Source organism: Homo sapiens, chromosome 11 (assembly GCF_000001405.40).
Source record: "Homo sapiens chromosome 11, GRCh38.p14 Primary Assembly".
Classification (NCBI taxonomy): Eukaryota; Metazoa; Chordata; class Mammalia; order Primates; family Hominidae; genus Homo; species Homo sapiens.
The window spans coordinates 19,931,123-19,954,926 of record NC_000011.10 but is presented as its reverse complement, the minus strand read 5'-3'; the positions used below and the strand labels follow the sequence as shown (position 1 = coordinate 19,954,926).

Here is a 23,804-nt window from a genome sequence, read left to right as displayed (position 1 = left end):
ACACACACACACATATATACACATATATATACACATACATACACACACACACATGCATATACACACACACATATACTCACATACATACATACAAACACTAATAAACCAATTCTGATGTAGTGCTACCAGTGCTAATACAGATACAGCAAGTAACAAGGAAGCATACAGAAAGGTCACTACCTCTGCTTGGATGGAATCAGAGAGGAGATGACCTGACAGGCAATAAAGGAAAAGATACAAGGTATTATACATGCAAATGATGCATGAGAGCACGAAGCACCCTCTTATGAACAAATAATACAAACAAAAATAAAGTATAACAACTATCCATATAGCATTTACATTGTATTAGATATTATAGGTAATCTAGAGATGATTTAAAGTATATAGGAGGATCTACATAGGTTATATGCAAATACTATGCAATTTTACATGAAAAACTTGAGCATCCACAGATTTTGGTATTTTCTGGGGGTCCTGAAACCAATCCCTCATGGATACTGAGGGATGACTTTAATTAATTCAGCATGAATGAGTTCCTCAATTTCTGAAGAACGGAGTCTCCCCGCAGGCATCTGTGCCCATATTTGTTGATGGAGTAATTCCTGCCACCAAGGAGGGAAGACAGCAGCCCCTAAAAAGCCACTGTGGAAGACCAAATGCTTACATCCTGTTTTCTCTCTACACTAGGCTATTGATCAGCCTCATTCTCAAAAGCCAACATCCTTAGCCCTAAATATCACCAGCCAGGAGCTTTAAACCAACACAATGACTCACAGTGAAAAGGAATTGAGACCACAGCCTCTATCAACCACTAGATGGACACCACAGGCTAAGCTGGCTTTCTCCAAGTGTTCTGTAAATAGAACCATTGAGCTTCATAGCGTGTGGTAGCGAGTTATATAAGCATAAGGTCCTGCCAGAGTAGGCATCAAGAATAGACCATTCTCAAAATATTAAATACCTGCTAAGTCCCAGTCTCTGGGTTTAGAAAAATAATGAGTGCTGTCTGCCTGCTAGGAACTCCAAGTTTAGTGGAGAAAGACACACACACACACACACACACACGCGCGCGCGTGCACATTTCTTGTGCATCTCAGATTCTTGCCTGTTCTTTTCAAGCTCTATCTCTAATATTCAAAGGTTAAGAACTTGTTCCAGTTCACTTGGCAGAGCCAGGATTAAATCTCAAGTCTGTCTGCCTTTTAAGAACATACTCTTTCCTCAGTACCATCCAGTGGCTTTCAGACACTTCCCATGCAAAGTGAAACGCTTATATATAAGGGTAGGTGTGAACCAAGACTACCAGAAACACGTGAGACTGAGCTAACTGTGACTGGGGGAATCCCAGAGGACATCACAGGGGAGACATTTTCTTCAGGATTAGTCAGATGGGCATGAGGGGAAAGGAATTCCAGGAAGAAAGCAGCATGTCCCAGGAGGGAGGGCTTTGCAAATGCAGGAACCAGAGGCAGGGCTTTGCAAATGCAGGAACCAGCTTTTGGTGGTGGCAGGTAGCCTAGAGCAGTGGGAAGTCTGGAGTGTGTGAAGGGAAATGTGGCCGGGGGCAAGTCAGCGAAGGCAGATGAGGCAAAGGCCATGAAGAGCCTCCACAGTCAGTTAAGGCATTCAGATCTGTTCCCACAGGCAATGGGAAGCCATCAAAGGTTCTGAGAGGGAGAAACTTCTGATGTTATATTTAAAGGGTCATTTTTTTGTCCATAAAGGGATATCTACTTATACTTTGGAACATTACACAACTCAGTGCCTCCTTTGAAAAGAAAAAAAAAATCATTTCAAACATATGGACGTGGAGTCTGCCCCTTTAATTTTATTCTGTACCATATGGCACTTTGAATTTTTAGAATATGAGTAGAAGATTGACTTCACAGATCAAAACCTAGTAAGAGAAATTTCATCTGTTATTTTAATTTCCTCCCCACTACAGCCAATGCCCAATTTATCAATCCAATAAAAGGGATGAGTGAGATCAGATAACAACCTGTAAAGTACTTAGACATGCCTGGTATATACCAGGCACAATATAAGAACACACACACACACAAAGTGTAAGAGGCATTTGCCCTTAATTCTTAGCTAAACTACATGGTAATATGGTAATAAAGTAATTTCAGCCCTACCATAGGGAGAATTGAAGGATACACACAGGTGCACATGCACACACCAGTACAGAAAATGAACTAGAGGCATCAAAAAATAGCTGTTATGCCAAGCCGAAGTACAGCATCACTTTAAAAACAGAGGTCTTAGGTTTTTAGAAACCAGAATTTACTTCCATATCAGATTTTCTAAATAAACTTACTATAAACTTTTACAAGAACTTTCCTCAAAGAGCCTCTGTACAGATTGATATATTACTCATACATCAAGGCTACATTTCTACTAAGCCAAATAAACATCTGGACAAAAGCTTTAATCATTTCATTGTTTCCAAGCGCCTGGATGTTTGAGGGAGATAAGGCATCTAGACCCCGACTGGGATTTTGGTCTTTATCAGATACAACTGCAAACAGAAATCCAGCTGAAGGTTTAAAAACCATATTAATTGTAGCACTTCAAAGCTCAGGGAAGTCAAATGACATGCCTAACGTCACAGAGCTGGCAAGAGGTTGGGGAGGGTTTAAGCCCTGGTCTGCCCAATATGATATCCCAGTCTATTTCCCTTTCACTACATCAATTGCCTCAACAATGCCTTATTCAGCACATTCTGAAGCACAGAATAACCAGCCTTTCAATATTTACAACCTTGCCAGTTTATAGGAAGAATATGATGAGTAGAAAAGACATTAAGTGTCTTGCTCTGAACTCTGCGTGTAAACACAAACTGGTAACTTGGCCTCAAAGCAGAAATTCACATGCATTTCCACAGAGTGGATACATGCTTAACAAGTGTTCTAGAATGCTACAACTAGAAGGAGCATTAGGTTCCATCTGGGCTACCTCTCCTCATGCTGAGGGTACATTTCTACATTAAAAGGAACAGGAAGAGAAACCAGACCAAAGTTCTCCAGTTTCAGTAATTGGGTGCTTTGCTTACGTTTCTGAACTTTTTATCTACACTTGCTCTAAGTGCTATCACACATGCTAAAACGTAAACTTGGCAAAGCTGGAACTGAAATGTAAACATCGGTGCTTTTAAGCAAAGGTAAAGGCTCTGGTTTGGATGGTTAAAGAAACCAGGAGTTTCTCAGTCGGCTATCACTAAGATTCAGGTTAGAGTGTTTCAATGTCTCCACCTTGTGGACATAATCAACACTACATCAAAATGAATTCACTGGCCATCTTTTTAGAATTGAAAGACTGGTTCGACAATAAAATCAACTATTACAGGATACAAAAACCTCAAAACAAGCCACAATTTGTTCGGTAGTATATGAAAATGGGAATTGATAATAATAAATCTGAGTCCATGCTAGATACCAAAAGTCTTCTAAACAATAATACAAAGATTACATTATGTGAAATTCAGTTGTAATAGGTGTATGCTATTGTTTTTCATGTTTATGGAAAACTAGAAAAAAAAGGATGCTCTAAGTTGACCAGGTCATTTAATTTCTCACTCCATTAATTGCGCCAGCCATTCCAGGCAGCAGAAATTTGTTGTACTGTAAGGTGTTGGGCAGCTCAGAAAACACTACAAAATAAAGGCCTCAGAAGTGAAAGTTTCTCTCTGACCTTTTTCTGCCCTCTGGTCTCTCAATCCTATTTCCCCTGAGGCCAGCCATAGAAACTAGAATCCCTCTGCCCCTAGGTAGGCCATAGAAATCAGAACCCTTTTTCCCCAAAGCCAGTCATAAAACCTCCAAACATTATTCTAATTTTCCCTCTTCCTTTCTGTGTGAAGCCTGGGCATAAGGAAATTATCTGACCCACCTTGTTTGATTGTAGAAACCTCCATTACAGAGAGGGCTCTGCCCCATACGCAGAAGGCAGGAATGCTTCTCAGAAGGGCCAAGAAGAACCTTGCTTGGTTTCCCCACTCCATCTGCTAGCATTAGATCATACCTTTTTTGCCCAATCATATTTCTACACAGCTGCCCGTACTTTGTAGAACCTAAGCATAAAATTGGACAATCTCCCCTATATCTTTGGGTATTCATTCTGAAGGCTTCTGTGTATATACATTAAGTAAATTTGTATGTCCTTTCTCCAATGAATCTGCCTTTTGTGAGCTGATTTTCCAGTGAACCTTCAGAGGGTAAAGGGGAAATTTTCCTTTTGCCCCTGCAAAAGGTTTGGTGGATTCTGTTTTCAAAGATTTCACTACCCAAGATAGTTCTAAAAGTAACAGGCTGAAAACCAAAGCACCTCTATGCCTCAGCTTTTAATGAAATAAAAGAACACTTCTAGTCACAGAGGTAGAACAGAGAAAAATCAAATTCATTTTGAAATAAACTCTAGTAGTTGTAGTATTTCAATACAGCAATAAAACGTTGGCAAGATGGTACACTATTACGCTCTGTCCCTAATAGCTGCAAGCCCTTGGGCAAGTTATTTAACCTTCCTGGACTTCACCTTCCTCATCTCTAAAATGGGGACTATGATATCATCTACCTCAAAGGATTGCTATGGAGATAGAACAAGAGAGTATAAAAGTAAAGCACCTAGCACTGTGTTTGGCATATAGGAGAGTTAGCTATTATTTAAATTATAAAAATACTGGCTCACCCATTGGGTTCTTGATCATTATTTTCATGGAAATGAGTGGCACAATTAGTATTTCTGCTTTTTCTTATCTGTAACTTTAACAGCTAGAACATTCAAGGTGGAAAAGATCTTGGAGAACTTCTGGGCAAGTCATGTTAACAGATGAAGGAAGAAGTCCCAGGCAAGTGAAATAACTCACTGCACCTTAAGTCTGCAGGGTGATCTGAGAGGGGAGCATGAACAAGTTACCAGCCAGGCCTCGTGCTATACAGTCATGGCAGGCTCCACCTGAAAGGTTCCTTAGACATCATCTCATCACTCCCCTTCACTTCATATATGAGCACACAGAGAAACAGGGAGGCTGGATTTGTTCATTCATTCACTGATTCACGTGTTCATTGATTTAGCAATATTTATGAGCTCCTATTATACACAACACACTGGGGATTCTGCAGTGAACGCGCAAGACAAGTCCTTGCTTTATGGTACTTACTGCTGCAAGTAGGAGGGGGCCGGGAGGCAACAGAGGATATACACATAATCAGGCTAATTTCGAATAGTGATAATCTTCCAAAGGAGCCTGCCACAGAGTGGTGGAGATGCGTAGGGCAGGAGGCAGGACACACACCTACTTCAAATTGCATGGTCAAGGAGGGCCCCTCCAAGGAGGTGTCAGCTGAGCAGCAAGAAGGACCTACCATGCAAAGATCTGGGAAGCAGAATCCAGGCTGAGAAACAGAGTGCAAGGCTGTGAGGCCGGAAAGAGCTTGACAAGATTGAAGATTGGAAGGGACAGCTGCAGCAGGGAAATAGGTAGGAGAGAGGAAGATGAGATCTAAGAGGCAGGTACAGGCCAGATCTCATAGGCCCGGGGAGGCCGTCTAACCTGCAAGTAGTCCATCCTCAGTGCAAGGTTTGGTTTAAGGGACTGATGCGACATGGTTTGTTTTCAGGTATTACTCTGTTGTGATTTACTGGCCAAGCCTGGACTACCCAGGCCTTCAGACTCACAGCCGAGCAGCGTTTCCCTCCATGTCACACAGCCTTTGATATGGACAGCAGAAACTCAGGTGGGCAGTTTGACCTCCTCCAGAAGAATCAAATAGAGCCCTACAAAAGAGAAGCCAGGTGCCAAGCCCTCTTTCTCTCTGGGAGAAAGGGCGGCCCCGGGTACTTACCCGCTTGTAATGTCATCGGTCCGGATGTTCTTGCTCAGAACATCCCCGTCGCTCATGTAGCCGGGGGCATCCATGCTGATGCCTTCCAGGTCCATCTCATCTCCTGCCTTGTCTGAGACGTCCACATGGCAGACACTACTGCCCCGGGAGGCCAGCTGCCTTCTCAGAGGGGCGGAGTACACATAGCGACCTGACTCAGTGTTGATGAACCTGCTGGCGTTGGCTCGAGGGGGATACCCATTGCCCATTGAGGGGGCGTCTCCTGCTTGGAGCCGAGGGCTGGACTGGCCCAGTCTCCAGGACAGAGGTGTGGGCCTCCCTGTCAAGCTGAGTATGCTACGGCCACTCATCTCCGTGGTGACATTGGTGTCAAACGTGGTTTCCAATGTGCTAGAAACAAAACCAACCTGATTAGACTCAAAGGTACCTAGTATCCTTCACAGTTTATATGTTCTTTAATTATTTAGAATTATGAAATAATCCTCATATATAAAATAGGATAAAACAGCCAGCCCCCATGTACCACCTGATGTGCTTCCTCTGCTCAAAATGAGAAAGGAAAGCTACACATCTACATAACATTCTGAAAAGCCTACCGGAGACTTTCCCTGCTAAAACATGGTACAAGAAACGAATTACTTTAATTAAATGACCTCAACTACTAGAATTTTCTTTCCAGGCCAGATGCAGTGGCTCACTTTCCAGGCCAGATGCAGTGCCTGTAATCCTAGCACTTTGGGAGGCTGAGGAGGGCGGATCATGAAGTCAAGAAATCAAGACCATCCTGGCCAACATGGTGAAACCCCATCTCTACTAAAAATACAAAAATTAGCTGGGCATAGTGGCATGTGCCTATAGTCCCAGCTACTCGGGAAGCTGAGGCAGGAGAATCGCTTGAACCCAGGAGGCTGAGGTTGCAGTGAGCTGAGATTGCATCACTGCACTCCAGCCTGCCGACAGAGAGTGAGACTCCATCCCCCCCGGCAAAAAAAAAAATAAGAATTTTCTTTCCAATCTGGGAAAGAAAATACTAGAAAATGCTGAACTGATTAGGATGGGGCATGAAGGTTCCTGCTTGCCCATTCATTCTAGGATGTTGCATCACAGCCTTCTTTTCCTAAGGGTGGGATTCTCCACCCACCGGGAGTTCCTAATACCACATTTTACATCCTCAGCTCCCTCCCAACTGAGCAGTGGACACAGTTCTAATTTTCTAACCCTCTAAAGTTCACTTCCCCCAGACTTTTGCTTTTCTCATATTTCATCCAAAAAGCCTGGAAAGATTGGTAAATGCCTGGGCTTGAGTTCCCTCTTCAATCAAGTTACATGGACTAGAATCTGCCCAAGGATGAGCTCAATCTCTTGGCAGAGTCTGTCTTCCACTGTTTTCACAGCGCTGCAGTTTCTTGCAGCCCAGTCAAGACTATCGTGTGCACCTTCACAGGAAAACTGGAATTTCCTCACTGAGCAGAGAATGAGATTCTTCCCTGCAGAAGAAACCACTGAAGTCTTCCCTCCTGTCATAATTACCATCCCACCGTCAAACTGCTATGCCAACATTAAGTCAGTGTCAGTGACGATGGTGGAAAAAGGGATGTTTCACACCTAATGGTAGAGTCACAAGATCCAATATCTGACTCCCCTTCATTCAGATACCTAAAGGTTTAAGAGGGTACCACCCCCAAACCCCCGAGTTTACTCTCCTCTGGAAGAGCCAATTTGGTCCCTTAAGCTGTTTTTGTTTTCCTCTGATCTTGGAAGTGGCCTTATTTTTCTCAGATTGGACCCCTTGTTTTGGGCCTCGGTCCTATTGGAGATGGAACCCACAGTGGTTAACCCCAATCTTCCAAAACTGCTGACAGTGGGGAAGCCCTGTGGTTTCCTTGCCATAGCCACTTATCAAAGAAACTGAAATTGGAGAAGCAAAGGAGACTCCCTGGGAGCTCAGTGGGGACAACAAGAACTTTCCTTGATTTCTACAACTATAAAACCTCCTCCTGCCCAAATCACAAAAGACATCCCAGGGTTGCATCCTCTTCAACTTCTTGTTCAACAATGAAAGCACCTGATGTTTCCAATGTAATACTAGATTTCATCCAACTAAATCAGAGTTAAAACATGATCATAAGTTTTTATAAATATTTCCTTACATGTTTTATGTACGTGCATGACTAACAATATTACAGAGTGCTGCATATCAGAAGATTGGGTAGGAATTCAAGCTATTCAGTTTATCACACAGGTCAAATATAGTTCACCTGCTCATTTCCACAGCACCAGACAGTTATAGAAAATGCAAGTAAAGTGAAATTTAAATAGAGCTGGTCTACAGTATCCTTTGTTGAATGGATTTAGCAACCTTCTGCTTTTGGGAAAAATCTGTCTATACTAATTTTTTATTTCCTATAACTCTCTTCTGCATGTCATATGGCATTCTTTGTGAATTCCGGCACATTTGGAAAGCGAGGCTATGATCCATTATAACCAAATCGCTTTGCTACTGCTATGAACAAACACAGGAGAAAATTAGGATACCAGGTAGTTCAGTAAAGTAATTCACACTGCAGATACCTGTGTGTAACCTGAGTTCCCCTTAAACTGGACATGGTTTCCTCCAAATTCTGCCGCAGATCAGCGATGTTCTTCACTGTCCGCAGCCGCCGAGCCTCAGGATCTTCCCCTAGAAAGATGAGGGTTAAGACTAGTTTAATTCTCTGACCAACCATGAGCTTCATAAGGGCAGCATCCATGTCTATGACCATAACCATATTCCATGCTCAGCACGTGCCTTGCTGTGGGTGCTTAATAAGGATTTGACAATGAATGAATGATTGAATGGAAGTGTGAATGGAAGCCCAAAGGAAGTGTGAAGTCCAGGGAGATTCTTCCTTCAGGTGCCTCCTTAAATAGGTGAAGTCTAGCATGTGGGAGAAGCCAAGTGCCTAGTCTGAGATGTAAACACATTTCCACAGTGTCTCCAACAGAGACATGCTCAGGTTAGGTCCAACCAGGTAGTCATTTTCTACCCATGCAAAAATGAGTGAAGCATTTTGTTTTCTCACCTATTGGTGATATATGCAGCTATCTTAGGCCCTACTGTGCAAGCATAGCTTGCAGTAGCTAGAAGATCTGCACCTGTTAATCACAAATATTTATACAGAGAAAGGTTGCCTTCTTCCTTGTTAGATGTATTATGTCACCTCAAATTCAAGCTCCTCTACTTACTGGCTGTGTGACTGTGGGGAAGGTGCTGGTCCTCTCTATCCTTCAGACTTCACTTTTCTAAAAGGAACGCAGTGGTAGTACTGACCTCAAAGGACATTTGTGGAGACAAACTGGGATCAGGCCTGGAGATCCCTTAGCACAGTGCCCACCATAAGCACTCAACACAAGCCAGCTGGTGCTCTAGAGCAGGGAGCCTGTAAGAAACAGCTGGGGGTCAGGTGCAGTGGCTCACGCCTATAATCCCAGCATTTAGGAAGCCAAAGTGGGCAGATCGCTTGAGCCCAGGAGTTCAAGACCAGCCTGGGAAACATGGCAAAACCCTGGCTGATGGCATACACCTGTAGTGCCAGCTACTCTGGAGGCTAAGGTTGGACGATGTCTTTAGTTTAGAAGGTAGAGGTTGCAGTCAGCCGAGATTGTGCCATTGCAATCCAGCCTGGGTAACAGAGAGTGAAGGGAGGAAAAGAGGAAGGGAGAAAGGCAGGGAAAGGAAGGGAAGGGAAGGAAAGGGAAGGAAAGAAAGGAAAGAAGGAAAGGAGGAAAGAAAGATGAGAAAGACAGAAAGATAAGAAGGCAAGAAAGCAAGCAAGAAAGAAAAGACAGACAGAAAGCCAGCCAGCCAAGAAAGAAAAGAAGGAAGGAAAGGAAAGAAAGGGAAGGGAAGGGAAGGGAAGGGAAGGGAAGGGAAGGGAAGGGAAGGGAGACAGAAAGAAAGGAAGAAAGAAAGAAAGAAAGAAAGAGAAAAAAAGAAAGAAGAGAAGAGAAGAAAAGAGAAAAGAAAAGGAAAGGAAAGGAAAGAGAAAAGGAAAGGAAAAAGAAAAAGAAAGAAGAAAGAAAAGGAAAGGAAAGGAAAATGGAAATGGAAAGGGAAAGGGAAAGAAAAGGAACGGAACGGAAAGGAAAGAGGAAAGGGGAAAGGGGAAGAAAAGAAAAGAAAGAAAGAGAAGGAAAGGAAAGGAAAGAAAGGAAAGAAGGAAAGGAGGAAAGAAAGACAAGCAAGACAGAAAGACAAGAAGGCAAGAAAGCAAGCAAGCAAGGAAGAAAGAAAAGACAGACAGAAAGCCAGCCAGCCAAGAAAGAAAAGAAGGAAGGAAAGGAAAGAAAGGGAAGGGAGGGGAGACAGAAAGGAAGGAAGGAAGGAAGGAAGGAAAGAAGGAAGAAAGAAAGAAAAGAGAAGAGAAGAAAAGAGAAAAGAAAAGGAAAGGAAAGAAAAGAGAAAAGGAAAGAAAAAAGAAAAAGAAAGAAGAAAGAAAGGAAAGGAAAGGAAAATGGAAATGGAAATGGAAAGGGAAAGGGAAAGAAAAGAAATGGAACGGAATGGAAAGGAAGGGAAAGGAAAGGGGAAAGGGGAAAGAGGAAAGGGGAAAGGGGAAAGGAGAAGAAGAGAAAAGAAAGAAAGAGAAGAAAAGGAAAGGAAAGCAAAAGAAAAGAGAAGAAAAGAAAAGGAAAGAAAACAGACAGCTGGGTTCCTCTTTGTCAGGACCACAGTATTCCATTCCCTGGGCAAAACTTTCCACAAGACACTTGGCTGAGCAGCATTTGAGCTGAGCTGGCACTAGTGTACCATGAGAAATATGCCACACACAAGCTAGGACACAGTGCAGTCTTGTTTTGCCTTCTCTGGCAATTCTGTTTCTTTCTTTCTTTCTTTTTTTGAGACAGAGTCTTGCTCTGTCGCCCAGGCTGGAGTGCAGTGGCACGATCTCAGCTCACTGCAACCTCCACCTCCTCAGTTGAAGCGATTCTTCTGCCTCAGCCTCCTGAGTAGCTGGGATAACAGGCGCCCGCCACCACACCCGGCTAAATTTTTTTTTGTTTTTAGTAGATACAGGGTTTCACCATGTTGGCCAGGCTGGTCTTGAACTCCTGGCTTCAGGTGATCCACCCACCTCGGCTTCCCAAAGTGCTGGGATTACAGGCGTGAGCCACCACACACGGCCTAGTTCCGTTTCTTTTAGCCTTACAAAGGGAAGAGGAGAGGTGCAATAACTACAATAATAATTAATAGAATTATATATTTTCTCCCTCAGAGTAATTTTAGGGAGAGCTGAGAAGACTGAGGAAGCACAATCATGGGTCTTTAAAAGCCTAGGACTATTTTCAAGCGTTGAGCAATATTTTCAAAGAAATCTCCATCTAGAACATAGCACAAGCAGAATTTACATTAGACATCAAGCAGCAGCAAGTAGAATTGACATCAGACACCAAGTTGAACTTCCAACAATTGCCATTAACAGGGGACAAGGCAGCTAAGAAATATAACAGAATTAACTTTTCTTCTGAGATAGATGACAACTTTCTTAGGTCGTTCTTGGCATGGTGGTGCCTGGAGGCTGGGATGGAGTAAATGATATACCCATGATTTCATGGAGGAAATTTACTTGAAAATGCAAGTGCTTTCCAATTTCTCCTTCCACCTTTTAACCCAAAGAAATTTGGAAGGCATTTTTCTCTTATCTGAAAAGTGGTCAAACTTGCATTTCCCTCCCAGTGCTTTAAAATACATATATATGTATGTGTTTTTTTAAAAAAAGCAAAGATGAATGTCTATTATACCTTCCCCTAATGACTTTGGAGGAATGTAACTGCATCTACCTTCTGGGCCATCAGTGAAATCTTTTACTGCCAATTTGGCCACATTTTATGTATATAAGCCTGTTAAAAAAATACTGATTCTTAGGTTAGCTCTAGGCCCTTTAGAAAATATTGATTATGAAGCTAAGTCTAGGCATAGGTTTTCAAATTACCTCAACTAATTACCTTAACCACACGCACAAAATATAATAGCCATATTTACTTATCCATCACTCTATTAATGACATATTGTTGCTGGTCTTAACCCTCCGTTAGAAATTCAACTATTTTATTTTTTAGAGACAGGGTCTTGCTCTGTTGCTCAGGCTGGAGTGCAGTGCTGTGATCACAGCTCAATGCAGCCTCAAACTCCTGGGCTCAGGAGATCCTCCCACCTCAGCCTCCCATGCAGCTAGGGCTACAGAGATGCACCACCATGCCTGGCTAATTTGTTTTCTTTGCAGAGATGAGGTCTTCTATGTGTTGCCCAGGCTAGTCTCAAACTCCTGGCCTCAAGCGATCCTCTCACCTTGGCCTCCCAAAGTGCTGGGATTACAGGTATAGCTACTGCACCCAGACAGAAAGTCAAAGATCTTTGAGTTGGGGATGGTGTCTCATCTTTCCTTTTGGTAACCCCCACACAATTTATAGAGGTCTAAGAAATGTTTATTATACAACACATGTTTGGTCAGTATGGGGTTGTAGGAAAAGCATGGACTTCAGTTATCCACAGATAAATATTTAAATTGTGGCAATGCTGCTTATTAGCCACTTGACCCTGGACAAGTCACTTATCCTCTCTGGATCTCATTTGTAAAGTGGACATAAAAACCTCTCGCTAGAAGGGTTAGGGTGAGAGTCAGATGATATGGCACATAGCACAAAATGAGGGCTCAGTAAATATGAGTGTCCTGTTTCCCTCTTGTGGGTCGTGCTGGGAAATATTTGCCTTCCTCCAGGGCTCTACATCAGATCCCAAGGGCAATGTAGGAACACAAAACAGTAACCCACCTGACATGCTTAGGTGATCACGTTCTAAACTGCCAATTATGCCTCCTCTGACAATGACCTGAATGTAGGATATACCCACTAACTCACAGCCTGAACACAATAAAAACACAATCGAGCTCCAGTGGAAACAGCAGGGAGCTTTCAGCTCACAGATATGGAGAGGTCTTAAAACTTTAGTGTCTACCTGTAGCGATCTGGACCTTGCCAAGGAGGGCTCTACCTCAAGCCACTAGTCATGATTGGGAGAGCATCGCATTGTGACCAAATATGACTGAGCTTGGAGGATATCAAAGTGTTACAAAAGGACCATGGAAAAAATCCAGGATTTTTACTTGGAAATAAAGAAACCTTAAGGGATATGTTACAACATGAAAAAGAATGAAAACTGGGGCTTCAGAAGGCTGAATTATATCCGGTGATTGGAAATGTAAGAATAAAGAACTCCATTAACTGCTGAAGCCGTCAACAACAGCAAAAAAGTAAAGGGCTGCCTTATGAAGGAACAACATTTTGTCCAAGAAATATTCAAGCAGAGGCTGAAAGATGAGTCCTCAGTAAGCTATAGAAGGAATTCATGAGCAGTATGATAAGCAGGTGTGTGTGGTTCCTTCAATTCTATCATGCAAGATGCATTTCTCAACTGTAAGGCTCTGTACATGACCACACACCATAGGAAAACCCACCCATTTGCATAAGTAAGAGGAAGAACTAAGCAATTGATCAAATAGTTATGTAAATGTCCATTTCTAAATAGTCCTACCATGCACTGTCATTTCAAAGGATTGGCTGTGGGTAAGTTAAATTCAACCTCATGCTATTTATTATTCAGTGTCTCCATAAAAAAAAATTCAACATAGTCACATGTGTGACTTCTACTGCTTGAATATAAAGACATGTCACCCTGATAAGGAATTTTTGTTAGCGACCAACCCCATTTGATTTGACACCAAAGAGTGCACAGTCAAGCACTACTGGCTGCACAGTCTCTTCCCCGCAGCCGATTGACAGCATTTCAGGGTTTCTGAGCTCTTAAGGCCTGGTACAGGGGAGACATGGAGATAAAAAGAAAAATTAGGGGAAGATCACACACTGCAATCTGTCACTCTGAAATCTAAGTAATATTTGGAATATTCTCCGGCTCCTGCTTTTGCTTTTCAAATGTGGATTTTGCTGAGACTCAGCATCTGACAGGAATCCACACTGCTCCACGGGCCACACATCTGAACCATGCTGGGATCTGAAGCGTTGGCCTCGCTCTTTTGATGTCTGCACATCAGAACACAATCTGGAATGTGCATGGAGACTCGAGCAGCCATCTGAACTCCACACCCTTCTCATTGCTGGTCCTTTTCCCGTGCTATCCATGTACTCATATGAAAGAAAGATACAAACCTTGAAGAGAAGGAAACAAAATCAATCCCAAATGTGGGGCCCAAATCATTCTAAGATGGACTGCTTACAAATGGCTTGAAGAATCTCTGCACCATCACCGTGCCCAGGCAGTGGAACCAGAATCCTCTGAAATTAATCACTGGGGCTAATTGCTAGATGGGTAAGGTTCAATCACTGGGCTGCAGACCAATTCCACAGCTGTAATGTGGCTATTAAAATGCTGTAGTCAGGGATATTCAGTTCAATAAATGGATTTTAAGCCTGGATTCAGTTTTTAACCCGACTGTGGAAGTGGTAAGATATGAGAAGAATGACACAGCCACTAATAAATCCATGGCTTACCACTCATTTCCCTGACTAGAAGCTGCTGGAGCTTGGGACACAGAGTTTTGGAATGGGGAAAAGAGACAGAGAAGATAGCAGCCTGGAATCCACCGTAGTAAGAATTCTAATTAAGGTGTGACTTTTCTTCTTTAATTAAGAATGCGATAGTATAGTGTCCAAAAATAAATGCTTGCAGAATTAACTATACAACGACTGTGGATTTTATGCCGTCATACAGTATAATGTACCTGTAATCATCATTGTCTACATTACATTTAAATAAAATTTATATTTTTTTTTTGTTTCTGGTAAAAAGAAGCATGTTACAATTTTCCCCCCCAATTCACATAGGACTCTAAGAACATATTTTAAATCAGTGCTTCCATACAGGAACGAAATCCACTATTTTAGAATTCTAAATCTTGTTGAAAAGCAACTTTATCTGAAGAGTAAACAAGAAGATTCAAAGTTAAGTATCAGTGCAGTCCAGAGCCCCTAAATGAATAAAACTGAACGTATCTTAAAAATAGGATTTGCACACCAGTAAGAGACTTGTTTACGATTCTGGGGAGGAGGGAAGAAACTGTAAGAGGGAGAGAAAAGGGAAGAAAAACAAGAAGAAAAATAATAGGAAAAAAAAAAAGAAAGAAAGTTTGTTTAGCTCAAAGTCAATGCAAACATAATGCAACTCGTAATCAAGCTGGGTTCATGCTGTTCCAGCAGGTATTGCGTGGAAGGCCTCATCACCAACAGACACAGATTTCTGAGGCTCCATACTCACCAGTGAGTTCTTCCAGAGCAGGCTGTCCAGTCTTGGTGAAGTGGCTGGGCTCCACGCTCACACCTGTTGAGCTTGACTCGGCAGTAACATTCCCTTCAGTGTCCGTCTGAGACCTTCACACACAAACCGAAGCAGACACACTTGTCATGAGAGGCAACTACCACATCTGGACCACTGTGGTCTAACCACAGCCCTCACCATCACCTCCTGTAGCAAGAAGCTTCAGAACAGAGTGGACCAGCAGACTGACGCTAAATAATTCATTAGCCGTATGTGGAGCAATGTCCTAAGAACAGAGAGAGCCGCTGAACTGTAAAAGATAAACTTTTCATTGCCCAGATGGAGGGTCTGCAATCCCTCACTGGGGAATGCTTCTCTGAACCTCCGTCAGGATGCTAGGTCTAGCCAGACACATGCTGGAGGGTACGGGGTGATTTGAATAATTTAACCTATGCCAAAGAACAGCTTCTAAGTAACCAGCCATGCCAACAAGTCAAACATAAAGATGACTCTATTAACAGCTCCCCCACCCCAAAATTCTCCTGACATGGTTTTCTCTATAAAGGTGACCATAAAACCAGTCGGAAGTGGGTGCCAAGCAGGTGTGTTTGCCCTCCAGGTCTCTGATTCAGAGCTTAGTTCTTCTGACATGAAAGGTCTCATTGATCATTATTTCAACACTTGACTGAAATCTGTACTTCCCCAAACCCTCTCCATGCCCTTATTTGTCAAGCAAATTGAAGCAACAGCTTCATGCAATGTTTTCTTGTCACAGCTACCTCTGCTCATTCAGGCATGGCATGCAAATGCATAATTACACTCAGATGCATGACCCTGCATGTAACATTATTAACGCACTGGCATGCTGAACTAATTCAACCGATTTCACTACCTGTGAAGAAAACGTTTGCCCAGAATGAGAATGGACCACGGGGGATGTACTGATAAACCTCAAGTCATCCAACTGTTCTTCCCTCCTTTGTTCTTCCTACTGAGGCCATCGTTCTCAATTCTGTTATCTTTACCTTTAAAGGATTTCATACTCCCTGTGCTCCTTTCACCTCCAGCCAGGGTCCAAGCCCTCATCATCTCTGCTGAGGCCTTATGAGTACTTTGAAACAGGTACCTCACACCTAGAGGTTACAAATGGCAGCCCGGTGTGGAAACCAGCCCAACTTATTCCTACTGGTCTGCATAATATTTTAAAGTTTTAAAATTAGTTCAACATTTAAAAATCGGGATATTTCACAATAAATATCTGCATTTCTGCCTTCGTCCAGTAAAAACAATAAAGCTTGGAAAGGACTGTCTTTGTTATTGCAGATCGCCACCTGCTGGTGCCAAGTGGTGGCTGCACCCTCTAAAGAGGCGTGGCTCCCTCTGCCACAGGCCCACTCACCCTGAGCCACCCATCTAGATGACCATTTAGAGGCCAATTAGGCATCTGAATCTGTGATCTCCATTCTACACTCTTCCTAAGTTTGGTCTACTCCCCACACGATCTTTCATTGACTTTTGTAATACTGACGTGATGACATCACTGTCTTCGGTGGTTTCCATTACCCACAGAATAAGGTCTAAACCCCTTATTGTGGTAGATGATGGCCACATTCTTCCTTTATTTCCAGCCCCATCTCCTGCCTTTCCAACTCTTTACATACAACTCTACTATGCTGCACCCACATGTGGCTTCTCTCCACATGGCTTTAACAGGTTTATCTTTGCAGTAACTACAACCTCTCTGCCTAAAGGCCCTTCTCCTCCTTCCTTAGTTCGCTGCTAATCTGTCTTTAAGATGCAGCTTCCATGTCATCTTTTCCTGAGAGCTTTCCTTGACTCCTTGCCAGGAGTTCCTACAGCACTCTCCTTATTCTCTTGTTGGCTAAAATGTGATCCTATAGCACTCTCCTTATTCTCCTGTTGGCGAAAATGTAAATCTTTCCTCAACTAGATTGAGAGCTCTTCAGAGGCAAAGGTTAGTTCAAGTTCATATGCTACACAGGCAACGCAAGAAGGGTGTGTTGACTGGATAAATAAGAAATGTTTAAGTCTCAGAAGATGCTAGGTACTAGAAGGAACATTAGACTTGGAAGTCTAAATATTCGACTAGCTCCAGGTCTAAGATCTATAACTTGTTAGCCATGCAAAACTTGAGTTGTCACTCCACCTCTTTGAATCTCAGCATCCTCATCTGTACAATGGGGATAATAATAGCAATCTCCTCTGGTTCTATAAAAATGAAAGGTGATGTGACACACAACTCTTAGTAAACTATAAAGTGATAAAGTGATAGATGAATCCACTGTTACTTCTGAATTGATAAATATAATTCATTCTGAGTGATTTTTAAAAAAATGACCCATCTTCCCTTTACTCCTTGGTAACAACTTTAACATGGAGAGGTTTTGGTGGGCGGGGGGGGAGCAATTATAAGTTATATATAGTGAACCATAAGCTTGAGGGAGAGAATTTTAGAGCAGAAAAGGAGAATAAACCATTTTATAGAATCTAATCTAATCCAATCTTCTCATTTTCCAGATGAAGACAATAAAGATAAAGTGATTTAGAGTCAAGACTGGTGGTTAAGAGCCTGGTCTCACTAGTTAGACAGACTTGGCTTTTTGGTTTGTTTGTTTTTGAGACAGTCTCGTTCTGTTGCCCAGGCTGGTGTGCAGTGGCGTGATCATGGCTCACTGCAACCTCCGCTTCCCAGGTTCAAGGGATTCTCATGCCTCAGCCTCCGGAGTAGTTGGGACTACAGGCGTGCACCACCTCGCCAGGCTAATTTTTGTATTTTTAGTAGAGATAGGGTTTCACCATGTTGGCCAGGCTGGTCTTGAACCCCTGACCTCAAGTGATCTGCCCACCTTGACCTTCCAAAGTGCTGGGATTTCAGGTGTAAGCCACCATGCCCAGCCTACACCTGGTTTTAAACATGAGCCCCTCTAGTCTAGTTCTGTGACTTGGGGCAAATTGCTTAATTACCTCTAAGCTGCTAGCTCATGGAGGTGTGGGAAGAATGAAGTGAGCTAAGATGTGGAAAGCCCTTAGCGGACTCTGTACCCACACTCGATCAATACCTGTTCCTGCAGCCAGTGCCGAAGACCTCAGAGGGCACCAAGGGCTGATAAAGGACAGGGCCCAGGTGTCCTGATTCGTATCCTGGTGCTCTTATTTCCAGCGTCACTTCCCAGACTACCCTAAAGATGAAGGCAACTCAGAGGGGACAGAAGGACGTTAGTTACCCAGAGTGGGCATTAACGTAAAAACGGGGCTAGTCAGATCCACATCATAGACGTTTTCCTCTTCCTCCTCTTTGTCAGACATTTGCTTTTTATCATTAAGACTTTTTCTTCTGATAGAAAAGCTTGAAATAAAAAAAGGTTATATCTTTTATAATCTTTCAAATGATTATAGCGAACAACAAAAAAAGAAGGAATGGGATTGATGGTGATCAAAGACTGTCATATTTTAATTTTGAAAATGCAAATTGAGAAGCTGTGAATCCTGAATATGTATTACCTTAAGACTAATAATGCTATTGGAATTATAAAAATTTCATATGGAGCTATTTAGTTGCCTCCACACTTCAGAGAACAGTTCATGGCTGGGCGCGGTGGCTCATGCCTGTAATCCTAGCACTTTAGGAGGCTGAGGAGGGTGGACTGCCTGAGCTCAGGAGTTCAAGACCAGCCTGGACAACATGGTGAAATCCTGTCTGTATTAAAATTAAAAAAAAAAAAAAAATTAGCCAGGCATGGCGGCATGCACCTGTAGTCCCAGCTGCTCAGGAGAGGCTGAGGCAGGAGAATTGCTTGTACCTGGGAGGCAGAGGTTGCAGTGAGCTGAGATGGTGCCACTGCACTCCAGCCATGGCGATAGAGCGACACTCCATCTCAAAAAAAAAAAAAAAAAAAAAAAACAGAAACAAAACAAAACAAAAGCCGTGTATGTAGACCAGCTGAGTCATTATCTAAGCCCTGGTGCTCTCTCAGGATTGTGAGCTGAGCTGATGACTTGATTCAATAAAATGAGACCTTCTCCCAATTAAAAAGATTGGTATGACCCTCACTGAAGGAGAATGCAAGCAGAACAAAAGGAAGGAGTGCAATGCCTGACATTCCTTTGCTGGCCTGGTGCTGGCTGGCTTTCCTTTGAAAGCACTTAAGCCAGTCCCTCCACCAGCTATTGGCAGGAACTGTAACAGAGACCACTAGAACACAGCTCAGGAGGAAAGAGGGAATATCGAATTCTTTGGGGAATCATACAAACATAGCAAGCTGAAAGTCTGGGCATGCACCTATGCACCTGAACAGGTATGTAAATACGGGTATGCACATGTGCCTTTGCATTTTATGTATGAATGTATACTTGTGTCCATGCTTATATGTGACTTTTAATGTGTGTCCACATGTATGGCTGTATGAGTGTGAGTGTACAGCTGTGCATCTGTATGCACTTGAGTTACAACTGTAAAATACGTGTCTAGAATGTGACACTTGATCATTAATCCTCTTTTGTGTGTACAAGTATTAGTTATCCAATTGTGCAATGTGGCCAAATGCACTGCTCATCTCCAGCACAGGATCGAATCAGGCACTGTCAGTGAAAGCTCTGGGAATGATAAGAACTTTAAGGGCAGGGGTTGGGGAGCTTCCATCTGCCTGGAGTGGACTCATCCATGTGTATGACGTGGCCCCTGAATCCCATGTGCCTCATTCAGCAAGGGGTGTGGTGTAGCCTGAGCAATGAGCAATGTCGCTGACCAGAATCACACAGAGCAGCAGCACCACTGTGTGGACTGGCTCCACACAGTCTCCCATGGTCCTGAGGATGTGCCATCAAAGAGACAGGGGCTAGGGGACAGATAAAGACAGAAGGATCCATCCATCTCCACAAACACCCAGGCTTATCTCCTCAGAACATGAGCTCTTGTTCTTCTAGACCAGCCCCTCCCCTACCATTACTCTTCTCCCCAATGTCCCTCTCCCTTCAGAAAGCCCCAGCACTCAGCAGGGACTGTGAGGATCTGGATGTTCAAGGCAATCCCTGCTATAAGAAATCTTAGTTATTGAGCCAGGTGTTTATTATTTTATTTATTTTTTAAGTATGTTGGGATGTGTTAGGACTAATGCTGGGGACTGTCGGGTGACACCAAACCGCCCCCACCCTCATATTTAGGCCTTCATGCTTTCTGCTCAGGGAAGCTGCTGCTACAAGGCCTGGGGTCCCCACTTTCCTATGCATCCTGGGATCAGCTCACATTTTACTTCCCTTCTTCAGCTTTCTCTGTTCCTTCCCCAACCTGTGCTGTATGAACTGCTCCCTGGAGCACATTGTGTCTGCTTCTCTTAGGAGTTCATCACGTGGTTTCTTAGCTACTGACTTAAGTATTCCTGGAGCACAGTCTAGCTTCTGCCCTTACAGACCCGGAATCCACTATAAAGGAACTTTTACCCAATGTCCCAGGCAGCACAGGTGGGTGGCAGCTCCTACCTGTACAGGAAAGGTGCAACCGTGGCAGTGTTGGGATGGTTGTATTGCTGCTGGGGCTGAGGTAGCTGAACACTGACGGTATTGCTTCCTGTGGTCTGGGTGGTCCCGACAGACCCACTGACAGTCTGGCTGCTGATGCTGTGGTTCAGGGTGGTCCCTCCTGGGCCTTTTCCTTCTGAGGACGCCAGGCTGGAAGAGGAACTGGAGTGTCTGCCGTCCAGCTGGGGCTTCTGCTGGGGGAGTCCTGAGCTCAGCTTCCCACTCCGGCTCCGCTCCCCTTCCTTGGAAGGCGCTGGGGCACTTGGGGATTTCCCGGGCATGCTTTTCATTCCTGGTTTTGGTATTCCACTGTGGGAAGGGGCCATGGGCTCCTTCTTGGCACTGTTGAGCTTCCCCCCTTTGGGGATGAAGCTGGCAATCTTGGAGGACTTTTTTGGCATCTCGGGCACAGCTGCTCCACTGGGGTCTTCTTTTGGCTCCTCCTTGAGGTCCAGCCTCTCCGTCACAGAGGCTCTCTTGGCAAGGTCCTTGCTTTTCTCCTTATCCTTCTCCCGCTGTTGTTTCTCCTTCTCTTTCTCATTGCCTTTCAGAGAACTCTTCTTGTTGGTCAGTGCCCGGCTAAAAGTCCTCTGGGCAATGCCCTTGAGTGCAATCTTGGGGCTGCTGGAAGCAGGGCCCACGGTGGTGAGCATGCGACTGGCGGCCTCCAGCTCCTCGCTCTCTTCGAAGCTGGGCAGAGTCTCCAGCCGCTCACAGCTTGTGTCCCGGGACCCCGGCCCCTCACCTGCCTTTGAGCCCCCTTTACTGTTGAAAAGTTTCAGCTTTTCCAGCATGGACTTCTGATTGTTGGGGGCCGGCTTCATGGCTTCAGGTGTGGGCCTGGGGGCCTCAGGCCCAGGAGGCTTGACCGAGAGCATGGATACCGTGGCACTGTGCTTCACGCTGAGGGATTTGCTGCGCCAAGGCTTGGTGGCTGCACCGGGCTGCGGGATGGCCGAGGAGGTACTGCAATTAGTAGGGGTGGAGCTGCTGCCGCTCTCCAAGGAAGCAGGTGCATTGTCACTCATTCCGGGGTGGGAGGAGGCTGAACTTGCCAAAGGCTCTGCAGAGACAGAAGAGAGGAGGCCTGAATCATACTTGTTGACCTGCACTGAAGACCAGGGAGGGTCAGCCATGGCCACACAACCAATCACTCCCAACCCAAATGCCGTATAGCTCCATTGCCCACTTTGTGGATTATCTGTGGTTAGGTTTTAATTTCTGGCTTGACTTCCTCCTGCTTTCCATACTGCACAGTTCACATCCCCCCAACCCCATCACATTTTGGTGGCATGTGCCACGTGAAAGCATGCAGGTCTTAACAAATCTTAACAGACACCTGCACCGTTAATACAGCCAGTGCAGGAGAGAGTAGGAAATACCTACCGTTTTCAATTATTCATCCCATAGCCTGTTTCCCAATTATGGGAAAGAATCAAGAATTATCCAACTTTAAGCAAACAATGTATCAGAGACATTAAAATACAACAATTACAAAAATAGAAAAGAAGGAGAAACCATGTAGAATCTTTAAAAAAGAATAATTACACACAAAAGTTGTTAAAGCCTATTAAAGCATGTAAGTTTTTCCTATGCTGGCACTTTTTAAAAGTTGCAAATGGCTGGGTGCAGTGGCTCACACCTGTAATCCCAGTACTTTGGGAGGCCGAGGCGGGCAGATCACCTGAGGTCAGGAATTCAAGACCAGCCTGGCCAACATGGTGAAACCCAGTCTCTACTAAAAATACAAAAATTAGCTGGGTGTGGTGGCACATGCCTGTAATCCCAGCTACTTGGGAGGCTGAGGCAGGAGAAGTAGAGGTTGCAGTGAGCTGAGATCATGCCATTGTACTCCAGCCTGGGAAAAAGAGTGAGACTCTGTCTCAGAAAAAAACCAAACAAACCAAAAAACCAAAACACGTTGCAAACATGGTTCAGGTTGGACTTAAAAACAGCTTTTTTTTTTTCCTTTTCTTTCTTTTTTTTTTTTTTTTTTTTTTTTGCTTAAGAGTGTAATCTATGCAATGGGTTCACTGTGGGCCAGAAAACACACAGGTTATCTGAAAGTCAAGGCTTCCCCTTGGCGCTCAGTGAGTATTTCCCTGGCCAGACTCTTTTCTCAGAAAAGCCTCAAAATACTTCCAAACTAGAGCCAGAATTGTTCTAGTGAGGGCAGGCTCCAAACTAACAGCTAGTCACCAAGGTGGCCAATGTGACAGAAATGGAAACTGCAGCACCCTGCTTCAGTCAGTGCCCCGGATGATGCAGCCTATCTCTCAAGGAAGGACAGCTGTTGGAGAGAAAGTGCCAGGCAAAGCACGTCTCCACTGGGCCCCGTGCCCGCACCCACCCACACCCCATGCCCAGTGTGCACGGCAGACAGGATACACCCCTTCAGCCCCCCAAAAAGCACCTCTGCATCTGCAAACTCACAATGACATGACTTACCTAGCAGCAGCCACTTTCTCCTGCAATGATTCCCTAGGAAAAATCCTCCAACCGGAGAGGCTGCCCTTCCAATTGTCACAAGTGTTTTCGGTTAAACTGCTCATGTTTCTAATTAACTTTTGTCATCCACAACTACTCCAGTGCCCAGAAGCCTGGCGGGATTAACGGCTGCTTCTTCTGCTTTTTTTTTTTTTTAAATACCTATGTTCCACTGCCTTCTAGCAACAGAGTAAACTGTATATAGAGCGGCTTTTTATGATTTAAAAGTCAACGGCTGCTGAAGCCGAGTGAAGGCAGCCCCTGTGTGGGGCGTGAGCACCGTGCCGTGAGAGCTCACAGTAAAGGAACTGCCTCCTTTCACTCTCAGCTGCTCGGGGAAGCCACAGCTCCAGGGTGATCCAAAGCAGACCTCCCAATGTTTTAAAACACATATATCTTCCTGACTTACTGGGGATTTGGGTTTGGAGGGAGGGTGCCTCACAATCCTCCCTAACAAAACTCAAGGGGTGTTGTTGGATGTTTTCCTGGGGAGACTGGCTTGGAATCAGGCTCCGAGAACCCACCCACACTGCTGGCCTGTTAGAGGGTTGCTACAGGCTTGACGCTGCCCATCAGCGGCCTGCTTGGTGTCAGGAGGCTCAGTGCTCAGCACATTGTGAAAAGGAGTT

The 23,804-nt window shown here is 44.1% G+C and overlaps 1 protein-coding gene across 46 annotated transcripts in view; it reads right to left on the bottom strand.

Annotated features, from left to right (window-relative positions):
- Window positions 1-23,804, bottom strand: part of NAV2 (neuron navigator 2) — a 776,366-nt gene that overhangs the window by 166,675 nt on the left and 585,887 nt on the right. For all 46 annotated transcript variants that reach the window (XM_017018520.3, XM_047427824.1, XM_017018522.2 and 43 more), the window contains 4 exons: window positions 20,650-21,751; window positions 15,154-15,266; window positions 8,418-8,526; window positions 5,847-6,236 (listed from right to left, as the gene is read on the bottom strand). In XM_017018520.3, coding sequence (XP_016874009.1) covers window positions 5,847-6,236; window positions 8,418-8,526; window positions 15,154-15,266; window positions 20,650-21,751 — 1,714 coding nt within the window. The remainder of the gene's footprint in view (window positions 1-5,846; window positions 6,237-8,417; window positions 8,527-15,153; window positions 15,267-20,649; window positions 21,752-23,804) is intronic.